The 23,809-nt window shown below is 40.4% G+C and overlaps 1 long non-coding RNA gene across 1 annotated transcript in view; it reads right to left on the bottom strand.

The window, feature by feature from the left end:
• Window positions 1–23,809, bottom strand: part of LOC105370991 (uncharacterized) — a 152,871-nt gene that overhangs the window by 95,563 nt on the left and 33,499 nt on the right. Inside the window, exon 4 of the long non-coding RNA XR_002957693.2 lies at window positions 7,236–7,345. This is a non-coding gene — a long non-coding RNA (uncharacterized LOC105370991). The remainder of the gene's footprint in view (window positions 1–7,235; window positions 7,346–23,809) is intronic.

Here is a 23,809-nt window from a genome sequence, read left to right as displayed (position 1 = left end):
CAGTTAACATGTTCAATAGAAGCTGATTGTTGAGTGTCCCCTGGGAAAAGAAGACAGAAACATGACAAAGAACAAAGAACTTGGATCAATAATGCTTGGGGAAATAAGACGGAGAAGGTTATTTACTTGCATTGATCCGCTGCTGTCGTCGCGTAAACTTGGCCTGTTTTTCTTTTGTTAACCTTTAAGCCTGGGTATACTCAGAGGCAACCAAGGAGCCAACTAACAGGTGTAGATTAAGGATCGAAGGAGGTCACCGTACCTCTGTCACCACCAGGCACCCATGTAACAACATCCCTGAAGAAATTTAAACATCAATAGCCATAATAAGGGCAAATGTATCAAGCCTGGCCAGCTCTAGCTGGAAACCTGCCTGCGTCCAGCTGGTTTGCCCTTGCTAAAGCTCAATTGATTTGGACATTCTTTTACTAGAGTTGATTATCAATTGTGACATTGCAAATTTGTTACCTTCCAAGTGCTGAGTGTAATGTAGCCATTGGAGTCTCTGAAGTGAAAACACCTGGACTTAAGTTCCCCCTCACTAGTGAAAAGAGGGAAGCGGGTGACAATCTTGCTCTTTGGCGCCTAGGCCAAACCAGCTGCACTTTGGATTCAGTCTGGGCTTCTCCCGGAGAAGAAGATGAGGAAGAAGCAGAAAGAAAGGATTTTTCAGATCAGTTGAGATTTGTTGAGCAGAAAGTTAAGTGCCCTATTGAAGGCCCCATCTGTAAGCTAGATCAACCTCTTTTTTTTTTTTTGAGATGGAGTCTCGCTCTCTTGCCAGGCTGGAGTACAGTGGTGTGATCTCGGCTCACTGCAACCTCTGCCTCCCAGGTTCAAGGGATTCTCCTGCATCAGCCTCCCGAGTAGCTGGGACTACAGGTGTGAGCCACCACGCCCAGCTAATTTTTGTATTTTTAGTAGAGACAGGCTTTCACCATGTTGGCCAGGATGCTCTCGATCTCTTGACCTTGTGATCCGCCCGCCTCGGCCTCCCAAAGTGCTAGGATTACAGGCATGAGCCACCATGCCTGGCCTAGATCAAACTCAAGACATGCTATTTTCTGCACCTGGAGCATCCTTGCCCATCCATCTCCGTTTACCCAAATCAGACCCAATCTCCAAGCCAGAGCTTGGAAGCTCTTTCTCTGAAATTTGCAATGTAAGTAGTTTTCTCTCACTCTCTCTCACTACTCTGTATTACACATACTTTTCTAATGTCTCTTTCTTCCCTAGTAGATAAACTCCTTGAAAGCAGAAGGTTGGTTTACATACTACAGTATTTACTAGGTCCCAATACTGCAAGTATCAACTATATTTAGTAAAACTTGCTGGTGGCTGAGTGCAATGGCTCATGCCTGTAATTCTAGCACTTTGGAAGGCTGAGAGGGGCAGATTGCTTGAGCCCAGGAATTGGAGACCAGCCTGGGCAACATGGGGAAACTCCATCTCTACAAAAATTACAAAAATTAGCTGGTGTGGTGGTGCACACCTGTAGTCCCACCTATTCATGGGGTCTGTGGTGGGAGGATTGCTTCTGCCTGAGAGGCAGAGGTTGCAGTGAGTTGAGATGACACCATTGCATTCCAGCCTGGGTGACAGAGTGAGACCCTATCTCAAAAACAAATAAAACTTGCTGGTGCATGAGTATAAACGAATAGAGGAATACCATAATTTAGATGTAGATAATAATTCCAAATTGAGTGATTAAATGATTAATATTAGGGTCTAATCAGAGGCAAAATTGCACATGGGTGGTTCATGTTCCGTAACTAGATTCTCTTTTCTGGGGCAATTTCCCATGCCTAGTATCTAGCTCTCTCTTCTCCACCTCCACCTCAGCTACACCTCCAGGCCTCTCTTCTGTGTACATTGAGCTCCCTTATCTGCCACTGGCAGTCATAATGAGTTACTGGTTATTAACGGGTCAGTGTAACTCAGTAGTAGGGGTATATATATTTGCTAACATTTTGTTAAGAATTTTTGTATCTAAGTTCATGATAGGTATTAGTCTTCATTTTTCTTTTTTACACTGTTTTGGTATCAGAGTAATGCTGGCTTCATTCAGCTATTTTTGTAAAGAAAGTTGCCAGTGGTGGAGTAACTGAAAACCCTTGTAGAAATCTTTGTGCCCATAGAATCCTTTAGATTTACAGTACCAGGTATTTCATATAAAGTACCCTGCTGGTATGCACAATAGACATGTGGTATAAGTAGGGCAGGTCTTACTACCTCTGCTCCATCCACTGTTAAGGAAATTGAGGCTTAGGGTGGTTCATTATCAGCCCGATATCACCCAGCTAGGAATTGGATAGCTTAGACAGGAACCAGCATCTTCTGACTTAACACCCCTGCTCTTTGGAGGCCTCTGGTTTTTAATCTTTATCCATATAGTGCTATTTCATACAAAACACAAACGATACAAGAAAAAGTAGGACTTATTCTGTAAAAGATTGTAGATGGAAGAAGTAGGGAGCAGATATGCATTACAGAAAGTACAATTCCACACTGTTCCAGCACAGTGCTTCTCACCTACTTTCCCTCTTGATCCATAAGGCAGATGGGATCACATTCAGAAAACCACTCAGACCACCTTATCCTCCAGTGCCCAAAAAGGATAAGTAGTTTAGCAACTTGTAACCATTCCAGCTTCATAATGCATCGTCAACTGTTTCCTACCGCGGGCTGTGGTGGAACTTGGAATCCCTATGAAGTGTCAATGATCTGTGGCAGGATGATCTACATAGCCAGAGTGCACCAGGACCCCCGGGTAAAAAGGCACCCCACCACTCTCCTCCCCTTCCCTTGTGGAGAAGTTCTGTGTGGTACAGTCCTCATTAAGGCCCATGGTAGCCTTTCTCTGCGGTGTCTGGAAAGCTGCTGTCTCCCCACAATGTGTCCTTTTCCTAAAACACATTAGTTTTCAGTTCACTCTTTCCAGGCCTGGTATCCACATCAGGAAAACAAAATAAATTAAAAACCCAAAACACCTTTCTAATGAGCCCTAATTGCTGCCTCTGCTGATGAGATCTGCAGAAAGGCTGAGCTCGGAAGGGGCCTTAGAAAACAGACTTCTTTTTCTTGTGAACTAGAGTCCCCCAAGGCAGCAGTAAGTGCTGGACTTGAGGACATGTTGTTTTCCAGTTGCCCATATGTCCTGTCTCCTGCACACAAAAGCTGGAGTGTCTCCTGCGGTCACAATGGGGTTTCCTGAAACAATCCCTCACCTAAAGATGACAAAGAGCAACAGTGAACTCTTCCTGATTTTGCCTGATTTGATAGCAAAATGCAAGCAAACATACTCCACACAACATAATAATGCCATGTTGGGACACCTGGAGGGTAAAGGAGTCAAGAATGTGTTTCCAGGAGACTGAATGAACCCTGCAACTAGACTTTGGAGTGGAACAGCCAATATGACCATTTTTTTATTCATACATTTATCACAGAATTCCTCATGGTATTGGTGAGGCCAGCCTGAGCTATGCGCTCAAGATAAAGTACTGCACCTGGCTGGCATGGTCGTTCCCTAATAGAGCTACCTGCAAGAACAAGATAGATATTAAACATAGTTGTCAAATACATGTCAATTTTCTTTCCATGTTTCATAAATTGTAAGAAGGAAAACCAGAAGGTGCTACTGAAATCATAATAAGGGAATGATTTAGGGAAGTTTCCTCAGAAGAAGGACCATTTAAGCCTTAGACATGAAGTGGAAATAGGAGGTAGTGGGGCCAAGAATGAAGGAGGAGGCAAAGAGAATCAAGTCTTTGAGGGGCAAAAGAGCTTGTTGCATCTGAAAAGCTGAGGAAAATTCACTCTCTGATGTGGGGCAAATGCTGTGTTGGGGCCATCATCAAGTGAAGAGCAAGGGTTTTGTCCCATGTTCAGCAAGAACCCACTGAAATATTTAAATTAGTTTGATGACATCATCTGGTTAACATTTAAGAAACCATCTTGGGCCATTCTTTGACAATTGGAGGTTGGCAAGAAAGAAAGTAGAGGTTCAGAATAGGAGGGTATTGAAATAACCAATGAAGAAGATGATCAGAGCTAAGAGTGTAGGATGTACACACACACACACACACACACACACACACACACACCTATTATGTGGATACAGGTTAAAAGAGAATTTAATATCTTTAGAGAGATGAGAGACTGTATCACATACTTTAAACAAGAATAGGTGATGTATACAGCTTTATATAATTAAAGATCTTGAAAAAGACAAATACAATGATTAAAATAAAGCACTAGAACCTAATCATTGAGAAGTTCAATGGATGGGATGGACAGTCTGGACATAGCTGAAGAACAATTGTCAGTGTGCTGAAAACCAAAAGAACTCTTCCAGAACACAGATCAAAGAATGTGAGAAAAATCGAGAAAATGAAGCAACATGCAAGATGTGGATGACATTCTTCTTACCTCCCTTTCTAGGAAGGGTCAGTCTAACCCTCCTGGATTATGTTAAGTGTAGGGGGAGAAAGATAGCCATCAAGCTGTTGCATGCTCCTATCCCAAGCCACCTCACATTAGTCACCAAGAGAATAACTTTCTTATTTCTGTTATTTCAGGGCACTATCCAGGCAGGGTGCTGCCAATGGATGACAGAAGCATAACATGGATGTAGAGCCACAAAATTAATTATCTACACTGGCTTTCAATAAAGTCAGGAGGAGGAAAAATGTGCAGGAGGGATGGCTCTAGAAGGTCTCCACTCAAGTTCAATTTAACTAATTTATACACGACCCAATTTGTTTCCTTGTGATTTTTTTGTCAGAGAAACAAACCCATTCCAAACTCTTTCCAAAAGTATTTCCCATTAAGTATCAAGACAGACAACAAATAGCTTCACTTTTAATTTTCACTTGTTTCACACCTGCTATTTTCTAATTATAATGTCATCAGCATGCAGAAGGATTTCCCAAAGCAATGATGGTCCATGTGTACATAATTCAGGCTTTATTGAAATTTTAACCTCATTTGGTCGAACTCCAGTTTGTAAGTAGTAGAGTCAGGATTGCAATCCAGGCAGTCTGTCTCCAGAGGCCACTTCTGTAAACACTGGGCTGGACCCTGAGCTAAGGCAGGCTTTCCCAACAGTGACACTATTGATGTTATGGGCCAGATAATTGTGGGGTTCTTTCCTGTGCATTATAGGATGTTTAACAGTGTCACTGCCCTCTACCCACTAGATGCCAGTAGCAACCCTCTGCAGACATTGCCAAATGTCTCCAGGGTGGGGGTGACCACAGTGCCTCTGGTGAGAACCACTGAGCTAGGGTACCCACCGGAAACTTAGAGCAAGCATTATACTTGGGTTGACTATTAAACCATTCCCATTAACATCTATGCACCTGACTTTTATAATTCACCATTGTTTTAGATGGCCTAATCAATGCAATAAAATAAAACAAGACATATAATGTATATCAAACATACTACTATTTGTAGCTGTGAACTCATTTGCAAAGAAGACATTCCTTTCTGATGGCTTCTATCTCATCTTGGGAGAGTTTTAAGAGAAGTCATTTACTGAAGTCAAGGAGGAGGAAGAAGCATGGATGGGAGTTCTGAGAAGAGATAAAAATATGAGCTGTGTCTTAGGGAGAGTGAGAGCATGCTGAGAGACAAAATAGCTTGATTATGAGTTGCATTCATTGTGGTTGAGGTTGCTGATCATGAAGTCTTCCTATTTTTACTTCCAAAAAATTGTAGCAGAGATTTTGGTCAGCTTCTTGCCAATGGCCCCACCAATATCTTCCAAGTGGCCTCTTACTCCCTCTCCTTAGCAAGCACTTTTTTTCCAGTTATGTGAAAACTACCAGCTGCTATCTTTTCCTAGACTGCAAATAAAAATTAATTCATAAATATATAAAGCTTTATAAAATGCAATGTTAAGAATATGTAAATCAATAAAGTATTTTTCGGAAAGTTTATCAGTATATATCAAAGAGAAGAATGTTCCTACCATTGTCTCAACAGTCACTTTCTAGGAAATTTTCCTAAAGTAATAACTGCACAAGTACAAAAAGATGTAATCAGCAGCATTGCTACAGTATTTAAAAATTGGAAACAATCTAAATATTCTCCCTAGAGGATCACTTAAGTAAACATCAGTGTGCACATGCAGTGGTCTCTGATACTGCATTAAAAAATAATATTGATAATGTATTATTGAATAAAAAATTGCAGGTTATAGGCAGGCATTCATGGTGTAATTGCATTTGTAACATATTGTATTTAGGAATATAGGTACTTCTTTAAGGCTATGTCTGTTTGTTTGTTTGTTTGTTTGTTTGTTTCAAAGACAGGGTCTTGCTCTGTCACCATGGCTGGAGTGCAGTGGCCTAATCACAATTCACTGAAACTTCAAACTCCTGGGCTCAAGCAATCCTCCTGCCTCAGCACCTAGATAGAGTAACTGGGATACAAGCATGCACCACAGTGCATGGCTACTTTTTTACATTTTTTTGTAGAGATGAGGTCTCGTTTTGTTGCCCAGGCTGGTCTTAAACTCCTGGCCTCAAGTGATTCTCCAGGCTTGGCCTCCCAAAATGCTTGGATTACAGGCATGAGCCACAGTAAACAGCCATATTTAAGACTATTTTTAAAAGTATTACCAATGACTATATCTAGGCAACGGTATTTGGATAATTTTCATGTTATTTTTTGTACTTTTTGGATCATTAGACTTTTCTACATAGAGCATACTTTTTTTTTTTTTTATAAAACAGCAAAGTGGTTTCCAAAGGAATGAAAATGATCAAATGACTGACATTGACAGTCAGTGCTGAAGACAAAATGCTTTGATAAACTGAATAGCAGAAACTTTGATTGTTAGATCCCTCCTCTTTGAGATGGCTGAGTCCATTTTATACATAAGGCTGACTCACAGGCTGTGGCCTAAAAGCAGAAGCTGATGTGCTTTGCATGTATTTTTAGTTGGTGAAGCTATCATTCTTATTGAAAATTCTACAGCTAATTTAGCAAAAACAAATAATAATATTCAACTCTGCAACCACAGTCAAGACCTGTCTGTGTGTTCAGTTTTCTAGCGTACGGCCTCTGTGTGGCTGGGTACAAGCAGGCCTGCCTCGGCCAGAGGCCTGGTATATTCTGACCTGCTCACTAGTGTTGGCCAGTTGGCTGCTTGGCACCTTTCCCGGCAGTCATTGCTCTCCAAGCACGACATCTATCATTGCTCCAGTCAGAAAGATGACACCTACCTGATGGGTGGGCAGAAGCGTCTTCTCTTACCATATGCTGGGAATTGTCAAGGGCTGTTCACGCCAAGACTGGCTACTTTTAGTGCCAGGAAACAGGCCTTTCCCAAAGCCTGCCAAAAAAAATACAAATAAAAATTTAAAAAACCAATTTTCACATATCAAATTTTGCGTTGACTAGTTGTGTAACAAGCGATGCAGAACAGAGAATTATGGACATTTTTCTGGCGTCGACACATGCAACACAGAAGAGAAGAGCAGTTCTCATCTGTGAAATGAGAGAGAGAACAAAAAAAATTTTCTGACCTACATAAATATTAGGTTTAGACCTAGCCTCAGGCAGAGACAGTGGGTGGCTCACCTATCCAGTGTAACTTAATGAACACTGAAATGCCCACCTGGGGTGGAAGGTGCAGTTCTCACCATATGAGTCATTCTTTGGGGTTAAAGCATCCTCTGGTGAAGGGTCCTGTTGAGTCCCTATCTGTTCCTTGGGGGGACGGAACAACATTAACCCACTGTCTCCAATTACCATATCTGTGCAGATTACCTGATTAGATACAGTAGGTAGGTATATTTTAATGAAATCATACAAAATCAGGAAATGCTGGGGGCACCAGGTGCCACTGTTTGTTGTTGAATCAAGACTTCTGTGCTATCAGGGAACACGACAAGGACACAGGCCTGCGATTCTGAGAAACATCTCCACAGAGAAACTCAGAAGAGAGGAAGGAATCACAGTCCTGTCAAAAATGAAATACGAGAACGGCCCAAGCACAGTTTGGGGACTCAGGCTGGAAAGACAAACTCAGCTAAGCTTGGGACACTGTCAGAATGGAGGGAAAGAACCCAGCTGAGAGGTGCTGGGAGAGTGAAAGGCAGAGACAGAATGAACCTCAAATTCGAGGAAAAAGAATGGGGAATGCAAGAGGCTGCTGCATGGGCAGAAGATAATTGGCCCTCACAGAATGGGGAAGGCACAGGGGTGGATAGGGTCAGGCAGTTCAGGCACAAGTCCAGAGACTCAGTCAAGGAGTTTATTCCATTGCCCTTGAGGATGTGCTCCAGGGCAGGCAAAGCTGCTTTCACACACCTATCAACTCCACAGGCTGCTGCAGGACCTCCAATCCTCATTTTAACTTAGAGCAGTCTCATCAGGTCTTCTACAGTAGCCTGAGGTTTCTGCTCCTGAGGTTTCTGTTTGCTTTGTGTTTCCACATGGCTGTGCCCATCCTCACCAACTTTTTACAAAAGCATGTGTGTGCAAGTGTGTAGAAGGGCATACTTGTGTATATGTATTTGTAAAATATATTGCTAATTGTTCCCTTAACAAGTTTTTGCTCTCAAAACATACTTTGATGTTTTTCTTTATGCCTTTCTTGGTTATTTGGCCACTGTTATAGGAAGTCCAAAACAGAGTGATATGGTTTGGCTGTGTCCCCACCCAAATCTCATCTTGAATTGTAGCTCCCATAATTCCCACATGTGGTGGGAGGGACCTGGTGAGAGGTAACTGAATCATGGGGGTAGGTCTTCCCTGTACTGTTCTCATGATAGTGAATGAGTCTCATGAGATCTGATGGTTTTTTAAGGCGGAGTTTCCCTGCACAAGCTCTCTCTTGTCTGCCACCATGTAAGACATGCCTTTTGCTTTCTGCCGTGATTGTGAGGCCTCCCCAGCCAAGTGGAACTGTAAGTCCATTAAACCTCTTTTTCTTTACAAATTACCCAGTCTTGGGTGTGTCTTTATCAGCAGCCTGAAAATGGACTAATACACGGAGCTATAGTCAAAGGCAACACACTCTTCAACACTTTTTCCTAACCTTTTGTGGGAAGTGAGAAGTATTCTAAAACTTTCTTTCTTATTCTGGGAAGCTTAGAACTTAGTAATTCTGCTAACCTATCTTTGGAATTTCAGAAGCCATTAAGGGGAGAAAAATCAACAGAAAAATTCCTATGTTCTAGTAGCCCTGGTGTTAGACCCAAGTTCCAATCCTGGTTAGCAGTTTACTAGCTGTGTGTCTCTACGTGTTTCAGGGTTCTCCTCCATACATCAGGGAAAATAACAGAACACAACTCATAGAAATACTGCTTAAAAGAGATTTGACTACACATTTTTTTTTTGGTCTACTAATGTAGCAAGAGGCAGTTAAATAGGATTTAAAGACAAATAAAGACAGTAACAAAGCATTGGTATTCATACCATATACATGGTTTCTACAAATCAATAAAAAAAGATTAAAGAATATGAACACATAATTCTCAAAAAATATATATAAATAAACCCCAAATCCATGAAATGACTCTAAACATTCTTTTAAAAATAAGAAAAATGCAATGAAAACATATTCACATTTTTTCCCTAAGAAATTGGTAAAATTTTAAAAGTTTGATATTATCCAAGTTGGCCGGCTGAGTGGGACAACAGGCTATCCCCAACAGTGTTGGGGCAAATGTAAGTCATTGTGACTGTAAAAAGAATGTTATTGTTATTTTTTAAATTGACACATTATACATATTTGTGTAGTACAATAAGGTGTTTCCATACATACTTTTTGTCATATAATGATTCAATCAGGTTAGTTAGTGGATCCCATCACCTCAAGCATTTATCATTTCTTTGTGGTGAGAACATTCAAAAGCTTCTAGCTATTTGGTAACACACAATATTTTACTATTAACCGTCATCAACCTATTGTGAAACGGAACACCAGAACTTACTCCTCCTATCTAACTTTCTACCCATTGATGAACCTCTCCCTATCCTCCCCTCCTCACTCTCTTCCACAGTTTCTGGTACTTACTGTTCTACTCTTTGCTTCTATGATTACTTTTTTTTTCTTAGATTCCTCCATATGAGTGAGATTATGTGGTATTTGTTTTTATATGTCTGGCTTATTTCACTTAACATGATATTCTCAGGGTTCATCAATGGTGTTGCAAATAACATGATTTCATTCCTTTTTATGGCTCAATAGTATTCTATTGTGTATTTATACATTATTCTCTTTATTCATTCCTTCACTGTTAGACATTTAGGTTGATTCCATACCCTTGCTATTGTAAATAGTGTTGCAATAAACATGAATGTGTGGATGTCTCTTTAACATACAGATTTGATTCCCTTTGGCATGTATACCTAGTAGAGGGATTGCTAGATCATACGATAGTTCTATTTTTAAGTTTTTGAGGACCCCCGATACTGTTTTCCATAATGAATGTACTACTTTACAATCCTGCCAAGAGCCTGTAAGTGATTCCTTTCCTCCACATCATCCATTATATAGTGAGGTGGTATCTCTATTATGGTTTTAATTTGCATTTGCATTTTCCAAATAATTTGTGACATTGAACTGATGGCCTTCTGTGTATTCTTTTGAGATATGTTTATTGAGTACTTTTTCTCTTTTTTTTTTAGACAGAATCTTGCTCTGTCACCCAGGCTGGAGTGCAGTGGCATGATCTCTGCTCACTGCAAGCTCTGCCTCCTGGGTTCACGCCATTCTCCTGCCTCACCCTCCCGAGTAGCTGGGACTACAGGCGCCCGCCACCATGCCCGGCTAATTTTTTGTATATTTAGTAGAGACGGGGTTTCACCGTGTTACCCAGGATGGTTTCAATCTCCTGACCTTGTGATCCACCCGCCTCGGCCTCCCAAAGTGCTGGGATTACAGGCGTGAGCCACCATGCCTGGCCACTTTTTCCCATTTTTTTAATCAGGTTATTTGTGGGGTTTGCTGTTTTTATGTTCTGGATATAACCCCTTGTCAGATGTATAGTTTGCAAATATTTTCCCTCATTCTGTCAATTGTCTTTCATTCTGTTACCAGTTTCTTTTGCTGTGCAAAAGGTTTTTAGTTTGATGTAATCCCATTTGTCTTTTTTTGTTTTTGCTGCCTAAGCTTTCAAGGTCGTATTTAAAAAGTCCTTGCCCAGTTTAATGTCATGAAGTGCTTTCTTTATATTTTCTTCTAATAGTTTTATAGTTTAGGGCATGACATTTAAATCTTTAATCCATTTTGAGTTTATTTTCCTATATGGTAAAAGTAGGGGACTAGTCTTATTCTTTGGTGTGTGTGTATACAATTTTTCCAGCATCATTTATTGAAGAGATTCTTTTCTGCATTGTGTGTTCTTGGCACCTTTGTTGAAAATCAGTTGTCTGTAGGCGTGTGAATTTATTTTTGTATTCTCTATTCTATTCCATTGTTTTTTAATGCCAGTACCATGTTGTTCCTATAATGTATTTTAAAACCAGGTAGTGTAATACCTCTAGCTTTCTTCTTTTTGCTCAAAATTGATTTGGATATTTAGGATATTTTGGGGTTCCCAATTTTGGGATTGATTTTCTATTTCTGTGAAGATTTTTTATTTCTGTGAGTCATTGGTATTTTGACAAGAATTGCATTAAATCTGTAGATTGCTTTGGGGAGTATGGCCACTTTAACAATATCAATTCTTCCAATCCATGAATATGGGATTCTTTCAGTTTATGTAAGTCCTCTTCAATTTTTTTGTTATATAGTTTTATAGTTTTCAGTGTAGAGCCTTTTCACCTTATTGGTTAAGTTTATTCCTAGTTATTTTTGTTTTGTAGCTATATAAAGTGAAATTGTTTTCTTGATTTTTTTAAACAGACAGTTTGCTATTAGTACATAGAAACACCACTGATTTTTGTATATTGATTTTGTATCCTCCAATTTCACTGAATTTATTAGTTCTAACGGTTTTTTGGTGACATGTTTAGGGTTTTCTCTACATAAGATCATGTCATCTGCAAACAGGGACAATTTGGCGTCCTCTTCTATTATTTGGTTCCTTTTTATTTTTGTCCTGCCTAGTTGCTCCGGCTTGAACTTATAGTTCTATGTTGAATAGAAGTGGCGATAGTGGGCATCCTTGTCTTGTTTCTGATCTTAGAAACAAATCCTTCAGCTTTTCCCTGTTTAGTATGATGTTAGCTGTGAGAACATTATATATGGCCTTTATTGTGTTGAGGGACAAGCCTTCTATACCTAATTTGTTGAGACTTTTTACCGTGAAGGGATATTAAATTTTCTCAATTTTTTTTCTGCATCGAACCAAAAGCAGATCACATGGTTTTGGTCTTTTGTTGTTGTTGTTGTTGTTGTTTAAGTGGTAAATCACATTTATTCATTTGTATATTAAGCAATCTTTGAATGCCTGTGAGGAATTCCACTTGATCATAGTGAATCATCTTTCTCATATTGTTTTAGACTCAGTTTGTTAGTATCTTGTTGAGAATTGGTTATCATCAATGTTGGTATGTCATTTTTTTGGTGTGTCTTTGTCCAGTTTTGAAGTCAGGATAATGCTGACCCCGTAAGATAAATTTAGAAGTTTTTTCTCCTCCCCAGTTTTATGGAATACTTAGAGGAGAGTTAGTATTCCTTCTTCTTTATATCTTTGGTAGAGTTCAACAGTGAAGCCATCAAATCCTGCATTTTCATTTGATGAAATGCTTTTTATTATTAACTTAATCTTCTCATTCATTTTTTATTCTGTTCAGGTTTTTGTATTTCTTCAAACATATTTGTAGATTTTCATTTAGTATTGGTAAATTGCACATGTACGTGGATTTATTCATTTCTTCTGATATAAAATTTATTGGCATGTAATTGTTCACAATAATTTCCTATGATTTTTTGTATTTTTGTGATATCTGTTGTAATGACTCTCTATTCATCTCTGATTTTATTTATTTGAGTTTTATTATTTTCTCAATTAGTCTAGCTAAAGTTTTGTGTATTTTTTTTTCTTTTCAAAAAATTAATTCTTGATAGGGGGGAGCCAAGATTGCTGACTAGACTCAGCCAGGAAGAGCATCTCCCACTGAGACATCAGACCATCAAGAATACCGGCACACTCCAAGTAGATCTTTGCAAGAAAGGCATTAAGGGTGAAAGGTGGGAGGACAGAGTCCCTGAGCTGAGGAAGGTGAAAACCCTGCAGAATGCCACCAAGCACCATGACTCATTCCAGCCCCCAGTGGTTCCTGGAGAAGGAGAGACTTAAATAGGTGAAGACTGGTCCATGCTTTTCATGGACCTCCAGAATCTTAACTTCAGGAGACCCTCATGATGCCCACAGACATCTGAGCTGGCAGGAAGAGATGCTTGAAGAAGTGGCAGGGACAGTACTCTAGCCTGTGTGGAGCCCAGAGAGTTTGGTGTGAGAACAGCTGCAATGGAGCATGACCAGGGACACCCATCCTCCAAGGCATGCCATGCTCCTCTAAGTGGCTTTGGGCTTTGTTGGCTCTCTAACCTGGACACAGACGGGCTGTCTTGCCCACAGGGACAAGGCCAGTTTGATCTGAGCACCCTTCATTTGCTGGCTTCTTGCTGGGTCCCTCCTGACCACATCCACTTGCAGTGCAGGCTTGGATTCCAAAACCAGGATTTCTCCTGCAGCAGACATCATAGCAGATCCCATCTAACCACTGGACAGCTTCAGCAGACAGGCCTCGGTAGACACAGAGGTGCCAAACACCTCCTCCCACTGCTTTGCCAGTGTGCACTTGCCTGTGGCTTTCCCCCACTGCTACACAGGTGCACACATGGAATTCACCATTTTGGTGCCACTGGTTCACATGCGTGCATGGGCCTCGCCATGCCAGAGCCCCACCCCGACAGCATGCATGCACTCAGACACCTCCACATTACCACTACACTGTTGCTGGCAAGCACATGTGCAGATATCACCACACCACTGCCCTATTGCTGCTGGCACACATGCAAACATGCACTCCAATGCACTGCTGCCCAGCCACAAGCATGTGCACATGGGCGCAACCCCACTATCACTCCCCCAGTGAAGTGCTTTTGTAAGAATCTCCCATTGTTGTTGCCAGCAGACTGAGAAACTTGGCCCCTTTAGTGAAGCAAGTGTTTATCCTCAAGGGGATAACACAGAGATAAGGACAGAGAACACAGCTGTGGGCCTCCTACCAACACCCAGGGTTAGGGCACGCAGACCAGAAGTGCTGAGCTTAGCCTGGGCCCCCTGATATCATCCAGAAATGAAGCCAGTCAACTAAACCCAACTTATGCCACAGTCAAAACCTCATGAGCATCAAAGAATAAAAAAGCAAAAAGCACCATCTAAAAGACAAAAACGACGAAGATGAAAAGAACATCAGGCCACACTGATGAGAAAGAACCAGCACAAAAACTCTGGTGACTCAAATACCAGAGTGTTTTCTTGCCTCCAGATGATCACAGTAGCTCCCCAGCAATAGTTCTTAATTAGATTGAAATGGCTGAAATGTCAGACATAGAATTTAGAATCTGGATGGCAATGAACATGAAGGAATCTAGTAAAACAATACAAGACATAAAAGACAAAGGAGGCATTTTAAGGAAGAACAAAACTGATCTGATAAAGCTAAAAACTCACTACAAAAATATTATAATATAATTGGAAATATTAACAGCAGAATAGAACAAGTTGAGAAAAGAGCTTAAAGACTGTTTTTTTGAGTAAGTTTGTCAGATAAAAATAAATAAAAAGAATTTTGAAACAATGAACAAAACCTCCAAGAAATATGGGATTACACAAAGACCAAACATATGACTCTTTGTCATCCCTGAAAGATAAGTAGAGAGAGCAAACAACTTGTAAAATACATTTGAGAATATTGTCCATGAAAAATCCCCCAATCTCACTAGAGAGGTTGACATTCAAATTGAGAAAATTCAGAGAACTCCAATGAGATACTGTATGGGATAACCATCCCCAAGACACACAGTCAGATTATCCAAGGTAAATGCAAAAGAAAAAATATTAAAGGGAGCTAGAGAGAAGGGGCAAGTTACCTACAAAGGAAACTCCATTAGGCTAAAAGTAGAGTTTTCAGCAAAAACTCTACAAGCCAGAAGAGATTGCGGGCCTATATTCACCATTCTTTCTTTTTTTGTTTTTTTTGACAGAGTCTCACCCTGTCACCCAGGCTGGAGTGCAATGGTGCGATCTCGGCTTATGGCAACCTCCACCTCCTGAGTTCAAATGATTCTCCTGCCTCAGCCTCCCCAGTAGCTGGGACTACAGGTGCCCTCCACCACGGCCAGCTAATTTTTGTATTTTTTGTAGAGATGGGGTTTCACCACATTGGCCAGGATGGTCTCGATCTCCTGACCTGGTGATCTGCCCGCCTCAGGCTCCCAAAGTGCTGGGATTACAGTTGTAAGCCACCATGCCCAGCCTCAGCATTCTTAAAGAAAAAATATTCCAATGAAGAATTTCATATCTAGCCAAACTAAACGTCATAAGTGAAGGAGAAATAAAATCCTTTTCGGACAATCAAACATGAAGGGAATTTGTTACCACTAGGCTTGTCTCACAAGAGATCTTTAAGGGAGGGCTAAACATGGAAACTAAAGACTATTAGCAGCCACAACAAAAACATACTTAAACACATAGACCATTGACACTATAAAGCAACTACACAATCAAGTCTGCATAACAACCAGCTAACAACACAATGACAGGATCAAATCAGCACATATCAATATTAACCTTAAATGTAAACAGGATAAGTGCCCCTACTTAAAAGGCAGAGAGTGGCAATTTGGATAAAGAAAAAAGATCTCCCATAAAATGGCAGACAGGAGATAGGACTAACGTGCAGCTCCGGCTTAGATGACAGGACAGTGTCTGGAGACTTACATGTGAACTTTCGCTCCATGAACCACTGCAGGAACACACCAGAAAAACTGGAAGAATTCACAAACCCTTTGAAAGAAGAGGCTTGCCGCTGCAAACCCCATGAGACAGCCAAAAAACTGTGAGTTCCCAAAATGTGAGGGGGAAAAAAATTCAGCCTTTGAACACACATCCCCACTAAAGAACCTGAAAATCCAGATCACAGGAGAAGGATTAACCTTACCTAGAGCTGAAATGGATTTAGGCAGCCAAGCAAAATATAAAAGTAGAAGAAGCATCAGGACCCTCCCGGTTCTCAGCTTGAGCCCCAGGAAAGTCATTCTGGCCTTATCTCACAGAGGTCCTTCTGGAAGGGAAGGTGGCCAGCAGAATTGGGGAGGGGCCACAGGGCAAATATAGGTCCTAGCTGAACTTTGTAGTAATTTTGACTGAGCACAAACTTTCCTGAGCAGAGTCTGAGGGGGGCGAATGGGAAGTGCAGATACAAGCACAGAAGCCACATCCAATGGTGAGGGCAGGTGGGGAGGCAAGGCCTGAGAGCCCTGCCCACTTTCTCAGCAGGGAGGCTTGTGCCTTGGGGCAAGATCTCAGCTCTGATCACCTGGACATGAACTCGGTGCAGCTGGGGATTCATGGTGCGAGAGAGACTGGTCTTGCTGGCTGCATAGGAGCCAGGTGAGGCCTGTCACTTCTGGCTTTCTCCCATTTCCCTGGCAACCTGTATGAAGCAGCAAAGGCAGCCATAATCCCCCAGAGAACATAACTCCACTGACCTGAGAACCACCCCCACCCCCCACAGTGGTAGCAGCCCCACCCAGAGAGTCTGAGCTCAGACCTGTCTAATCCTGCCCCCACCTGATGGTTTTTCTCTACTCACCCTGGCAGCTGAAAACAAAAGATGTAATCTCTTGGGAGTTCTATGACCCCCCCCCCCCCCCCCCCGCCAACCATCACCTGAGGAACCTGAGTACTCATCCTGGCCAACACAGGGCAAGATTATATCCCCCTTCTACTACTGCACCTGGCACTCTCTTGAAAGTGCCACCTCCTGGCTAGAGGAAAACCAACTCAAGCCTCTACAGCAACTCAGGACAGAACATCCTTGCTCCAAAGAAGGAGAAAACAATGGCTAACACCTTCAACACCCTGGCTAAACAGAGGTCCTGAGTCTGTCCATGTGACAACTTCACTGCTGGCATAACCAGCATTAGAGAAAACCAGTGCACTAAACAAAACTATAACCAAGGACTCTCACAGAGTCCACTTCACTACCCTGCCACCTCCAGTGGAGCAGCTGATGGTATCCATGACTGGAAGACCTGAAGACAGATCATATCACAGGACTCTTTGCAGACATTCCCCAGCACAAGCCTGGAGCTTGGTAGCCCTGCTGGGTGGCTAAACCCAGAAGGGCAATAACAATCACTGCAGTCTGGCTCTCAGGAAGCCCTATCCTAGAGGAAGGGGGAGAGCACTACATCAGTGGATCATCCTGTGGGAAAAAAGAAGCTGAACAGCAGCCCTTGAGTTTGAAATCATTCCACTGAAACAGTCTTCCCAAATGAGGGAGAAGAAAAGTAATTCTTGTAATATGACAAAGTAAGGTTTTATAACACCCCTAAAAGATCACACTCGATCTCCAACAATGGATCTAAACCAAGAAGAAACCTCTGAATTACCAGAAAAAGAATTGAGAAGGATGATTATTAAGCTACTCAATAAGGCACCAGAGAAAGGTGAAAGTCAGTTTAAAGAAATTAAAAAAAAATACAGGATACAAGTGAAAAAGTCTCCAAAGAAATAGATATCATAAAGAAAAGACAATCACAACTTCTGGAATTGAAAGACACACTTAGAGAAACGCAAAACACACTGGAAAGTTTCAACAACAGAATCAAATAAGTAGAAGGAACTTCAGAGCTCGAAGGCAAGGCTTTTGAATTAAGCCGATCTGACAAAAACAAAGACAAAAGAGATCTAAAAAATGAACAAAGCCTCCAAGAAATTTGGGATTATGTTAAACATCCAGGCATAAGAATATTGGTGTTCCTCAGGAAAAAGAGAAATCTAAAAGAGAAAACTCATTTGAGGAAATAATCAAGAAAAACCTCTCTGGTCTTGCTAGAGATCGAGACATACAAATACAAGAAGCTCAATGAACACCTAGGAAATTCATAGCAAAAAGATCATTTCCTAGGCTCATAGTCATCAGGTCATCTAAAGTCAAGATGAATGAAAGAATCTTTTTTTTTTGACACAGAGTCTCGCTCTGTCACCCAGGCTGGAGTGCAGTGGTGCGATCTCAGCTCACTTCAAGCTCTGCCTCCCGGGTTCAGGCCATTCTCCTGCCTCAGCCTCCCGAGTAGCTGGGACTACAGGCCTCCGCCACCATGTCCAGTTAATTTTTTGTATTTTTAGTAGATACGGGGTTTCACCATGTTAGCCAGGATGGTCTCGATCTCCTGACCTCATAATCTGCCCACCTCAGCCTCCCAAAGTGCTAGGATTACAGGCATGAGCCATCGCGCCCAGCGAATGAAAGAATCTTAAGAGCTGTGAGGCAAAAGTATCAGGTAACCTATTAAGGAAAATCTATCAGATTAATAGCAGATTTCTCAGCAGAAACCCTGCAAGCCAGAAGGGATTGGGGGGTAATACATTTAGACTCCTTAAACAAAATAATTATTAGCCACAACTTTTGTTTCAAGAGAAACTAAGCTTCATAAATGAGGGAAAGAGAGACTTTTTCAGACAAACAAATAACCTAGCATCCCTTCATGATTAAAATCCTCAGTAAAATTGGCATGGAAGGGACATACCTTAATGTAATAAAAGCCATCTATGACAAACCCACAGCCAACATTATACTGAATGGGGAAAAGTTGAAAGCATTCCCCCTGAGAATAGGAATAAGACAAGGATGTCCACTCTCACCACTTCTATTCAACATAATACTGGAAGTCCTAGCCAGAGCAATTAGACAATAGAAAGAAATAAAGGGCATCCAAACTGATAGTAAGGAGTCAAACTATTGCTGTTTGGTGATGATATGATCGTATACCTAGAAAACCCTGAAGACTCATCCAAAAAGCTCCTAGATCTGAAAAGTGAATTCGGTAAAGTTTCAGAATATAAAATCAATCCACACAAATCAGTAGCTCTGTAAAACACCAACAGCGACCAAGCTGAAAATCAAATCAAGAACTCAATTCCTCTTACAACAGCTGCAAAAAATTTAAAATACTTAGGAATACACCTAACCAAAGAGGCGAAAGATCTGTACAGGTAAAACTATAAAACACTGCTGAAAGAAGTCATAGATGACACAAACAAATGGAAACATATCTCATGCTCATGGATGATAGAATCAATATTGTGACAATGACCATACTGCCAAAAGCAATCTACAAATTCAATGCAATTCCCATCGAAATACCATCATCATTCTTCATGGAACTAGAAAAAACAATCCTAAAATTCATATGGAACCAAAAAAAGCCCACAAAATAATGTCATTCACAGCAACCTGGATGGAGTTGGTGACCATTATTCTAAGTGAAGTAACTCAGGAATGGAAAAGCAAGCATTGTATGTTCTCACTTATAATTGGGAGATAAGCTATGAGGACACAAAAACATAATAATGATATAATGGTGTCTGGGGACTAGGGGGAAGGCTGAGACGAGGGGTGAGGGATAAAAGACTACACACTGGGTACAGTGGACAGTGCTTGGGTTATGGGAGCACCAAAATCTCGGAAATCACCACTACAGAACTTATCCATGTAACCAAACACTACGTGTTCCCCTGAAATTATTGAAATAACAATAATAAAACAAGAAAAGAAAAAAGTTACCATAATTCCACAACCCGGCAGATACTACCATCAGCACTTTGATATTTGTACTTTCAGACATTTTCTATCTGTACAAATGCATGCATGTGAATAAACATTCTGGCAAAAGTGGAATAATAGTACACATATTCTATAATCTATTTTCTAATTTTATAATATGGCATGAACATCTTTCCTTGTCAAGATATGTACAAGTATATCATTGTTCCTAATGGCTATAAAAAAATTCCATTTTATGACTCTACCACAATTTAAATAGTCACAGATGTTAAACATTTAGTTTGTATCCAATTGTAAATACCGCTATAACAAACATTCTTGTACGTCCATCTTTGTGCACTGATTATTGCATCAGAATAAATTCAGAAAATTTACAAAAAAAAAAAACAAAAAGAAGACAGACCCATCTATATGCTCTTTTAAAGAAACCCATTTCACATGCCATGATATCCATAGGCTCAAAGCAAAGGTATGGAGAAAGATCTATCAAGCAAATGGAAAACAAAATAGAGCAGTGTTTGCTATTCTAATTCCAAACAAAACATACTTTAAACTAATGATGATCAAAAAAGGATAAGAAGGGCACAACATAGTGATAAAGGGTTCAATTCAACAAGAAAACTTAACTATCCTAAATATATATATACACCTAACACTGGAGCACCCAGATTCACAAAACAAGTTCTTAAAGATCTTCATGGTAGGCTAGATAACCACATAACAATAGTGGAAGGTGTCAGTATCCCACTGACAGTATAAGACACATTATCAAGGCAGAAACTATCAAAGATATTTGGGACCTAAGCTCGACACTTGACCAAATGGACCTAACAGATATCTACAGAACATTCCACCCAACCAAAACAGAATACACATGCTTATCATCTGCACATGACACATAATCTAAAATTCACCACATGCTCAAACATAAAGCAATTCTAAACATATATATATATACTACACTCACAGATCCCAGCAAGATAAAAATAGAAATCAATACTAAGAAGACCTCTCTAAGCCATATGATTACATGAAAATTAAACAACCTGCTTCTGAATGACTTTTGGGTAAACAGTAAGACTAAGACAGAAATCAAAAAATTCTTAGAAAGTAAAGAAAACAAAGATAAAACATACCAGAATCTCTGGGACACAGCTAAAGCAGTGTTAAGAGGAAAATTTATAGAGCTAAATGCTCATATAAAAAAAAGTGGAAAAGTGTCGAATTAACAACCCAGCATGACACCTAGAGGAGCTAGGAAAACAAAAGCAAACCAAATCGCCCCAAGGCTGAACTGAATGAAACTGAGATGCACAAGACCATTCAGAAGATAAATGGGTCAGGTGCAGTGGCTCACGTCTGTAATCCCAACACTTTGGGAGACCGAGGTGGGCAGATCATGACGTCAGGAGAGCGAGAACATCCTGACTAACACGGTGAAACCTGTCTGTACTAAACATACAAAAAAGTAGCCAGGAGTGGCCAGGTGCGATGGCTCACACCTGTAATCCCAGCACTTTGGGAGGCCGAGGTGGGCAGATCGAGACCATCCTGGCTAACCTGGTGCAACCCCGTCTCTACTAAAAATACAAAAAATTAGCCGGGCATGGTAGCGGGCACCTGTAGTCCCAGCTACTCGGGAGGCTGAGGCAGGAGAATGGCGTGAACCCGGGAGGCGGAGCTTGTAGTGAGCCAAGATCGCACCACTGCACTCCAGCCTGGGTGACAGAGCGAGACTCAGTCTCAAAAAAAAAAAAAAAAAAAAAAGATAAATGAACCCAAAAGTTGGTTTTTTGAAAAAATAAATAAAATTAATAGACCTCTAGGTAGACTAATAAAGATAAACAGAGAGAAAATAAAAATACACACAATTAGAAATGACAAAGAATGTATTACCATCTACCCCACAGAAATACAAAAAAATCTTCAGAGACTATTATGAACACCTCTATGCATATGAACTAGAAAACCTAGAAGAAATGAATACATTCCTGAAAATATACAACATCCCAAAATTAAACCAAAAAGGAATTGAAACCCTGAAAAGATGAATAGTGAGTTCCAAAACTGAATCAGTGGAAAACAAAAAGAAAAACAAACAAAAAAAACCCTACCAACTAGAGGCCGGGTGCGGTGGCTCACGTCTGTAATCCCAGCACTTTGGGAGGCCAAGGCAGGTGGATCACCTGAAGTCAGGAGTTTGAGACCAGCCTGGCCAACAGGGTGAAACCCCATCTTTGCTAAAAATACAAAAATTAGCTGGGCTAACGTGGTGGCAGGTGCCTGTAATCCCAGCTACTCAGAAAGCTGAGGCAGGAGAACTGCTTGAACCCAGAAGGCAGAGATTGCAGTGAGCCAAGATCGCGCCATTGCACTCCAGCCTGGACAACAAGAGTAAAAATCTGTCTCAAAACACAAACAAACAAACAAACAAACAAACAAACAAACAAACCCTACCAACTAGAAAAAGCTCTGGACCAGAAGAATTCACAGCTGAATTCTACGAGACATATAAAGAAGAGCTGGTACCAATTCTACATAAACTATTCCAAAAAATTGAGGAGTAGGGACTCCTCCCTAAGTCACTCTATGAGGCCACTATAATTCTGATACCAAAACCTGGCAGAGACACAACAAAAAGAAAATATCAGGACAATATACACGATGAACATACATGCAAAAATTCTCAACAAATACTAGCCAACTGAATCCAGGAGACCATCGAAGCGCTAACCCAACACAGTCAAGTAGGTGTTATTCATGGGATGCAAGGTTGGTTCAAAATACACAAATCAATAAATGTGATTCATCACATAAAATGAACTAAAAACAAAAAAATCATACTTATTTCAATAGATGCAGAAAAGGCTCTTGATAAAATTCAACATCATTTCATATTAAAAACCTGCAGTAAACTAGGCATCAGAGGGGCAGACTTCAGAATAATAAGAACCATCTATGACCAAACCACAACCAATATCATACTGAATGTGCAAAAGCTGGAAGCACTTCCCTTGAAAAACCAGACCACACAAGGATGCCCACTCTTACCATGCCTATTCAACATAGTATTGGAAGTCCTAACCAAAGCAATCAGGCAAGAGAAGGAAATAAAAGGCATTCAAATAGGAAGAGAGAAAGTCAAATTATCTCTCCTCACAGATGATATAATTTTATAAATTAAAAAAACAATAATCTCTGCCCAAAGATTTCTAGATCTGATAAACAACCAACAAATTTTCAGGTTACAAAATCAATGTACAAAAAACAGCAGCATTTCTGTACACCAATAGCATCCAAGCTGACAGCAAAATCAAGACTGCAATCACATTCACAATAGCCACTAAAAGAATAAAATATCTAGAAATACAGCTAACCAAGGAAGTGAATGATCTCTACAATGAGAATTGCAAAACACTGCTGAAAGAAATCAGAGATGACACAAGTAAATGGGAAAACATTCTATGCTCATGGATAGGAAGAATTATTATTGTTTAAATGTCCATACTGTCCAAAGCAACTTGTGGATTCAATACTATCCGTATAAAACTACCAATGATATTTTTCACCGAATTATTTAAAAACTATTCTAAAATTCTTGTGCAACCAAAAAGAAGCCTGAGTAGCCAAGACAATCCTGAACAAAAAGAACAAAGCTGGAACCATCAAACTTGACTTCACACTACACTATAAGGCTATAGTAACCAAAACCAGCACAATAATGGTACAAAAACAGACACATAAACCAATAGAATAGGTTAGAAAACATAGAAATAAAGCCATACAATCTACAACCATCTTATCTTTGACAAAGTTGGCAAAAACAAGCAATGGGGAAAAACTCCCTATTGAATAAATGTTACTGGGATAGCTAGCTAGCTATATGCAGATTGAAACTGGAAACTTTTTCCCACCATATGCAAAAATAAACTCAACATGGACTACAGATGTTAAGTGTAAAAACCAAAACTGTAAAAGCCCCAGGAGAAAACCCTGGTAATACTATTCTGGACATAGACCCTGACAAGGATTTCAT

Source organism: Homo sapiens, chromosome 15 (assembly GCF_000001405.40).
Source record: "Homo sapiens chromosome 15, GRCh38.p14 Primary Assembly".
Classification (NCBI taxonomy): domain Eukaryota; kingdom Metazoa; phylum Chordata; class Mammalia; order Primates; family Hominidae; genus Homo; species Homo sapiens.
This window is presented reverse-complemented; position numbering and strand designations above follow the sequence as displayed.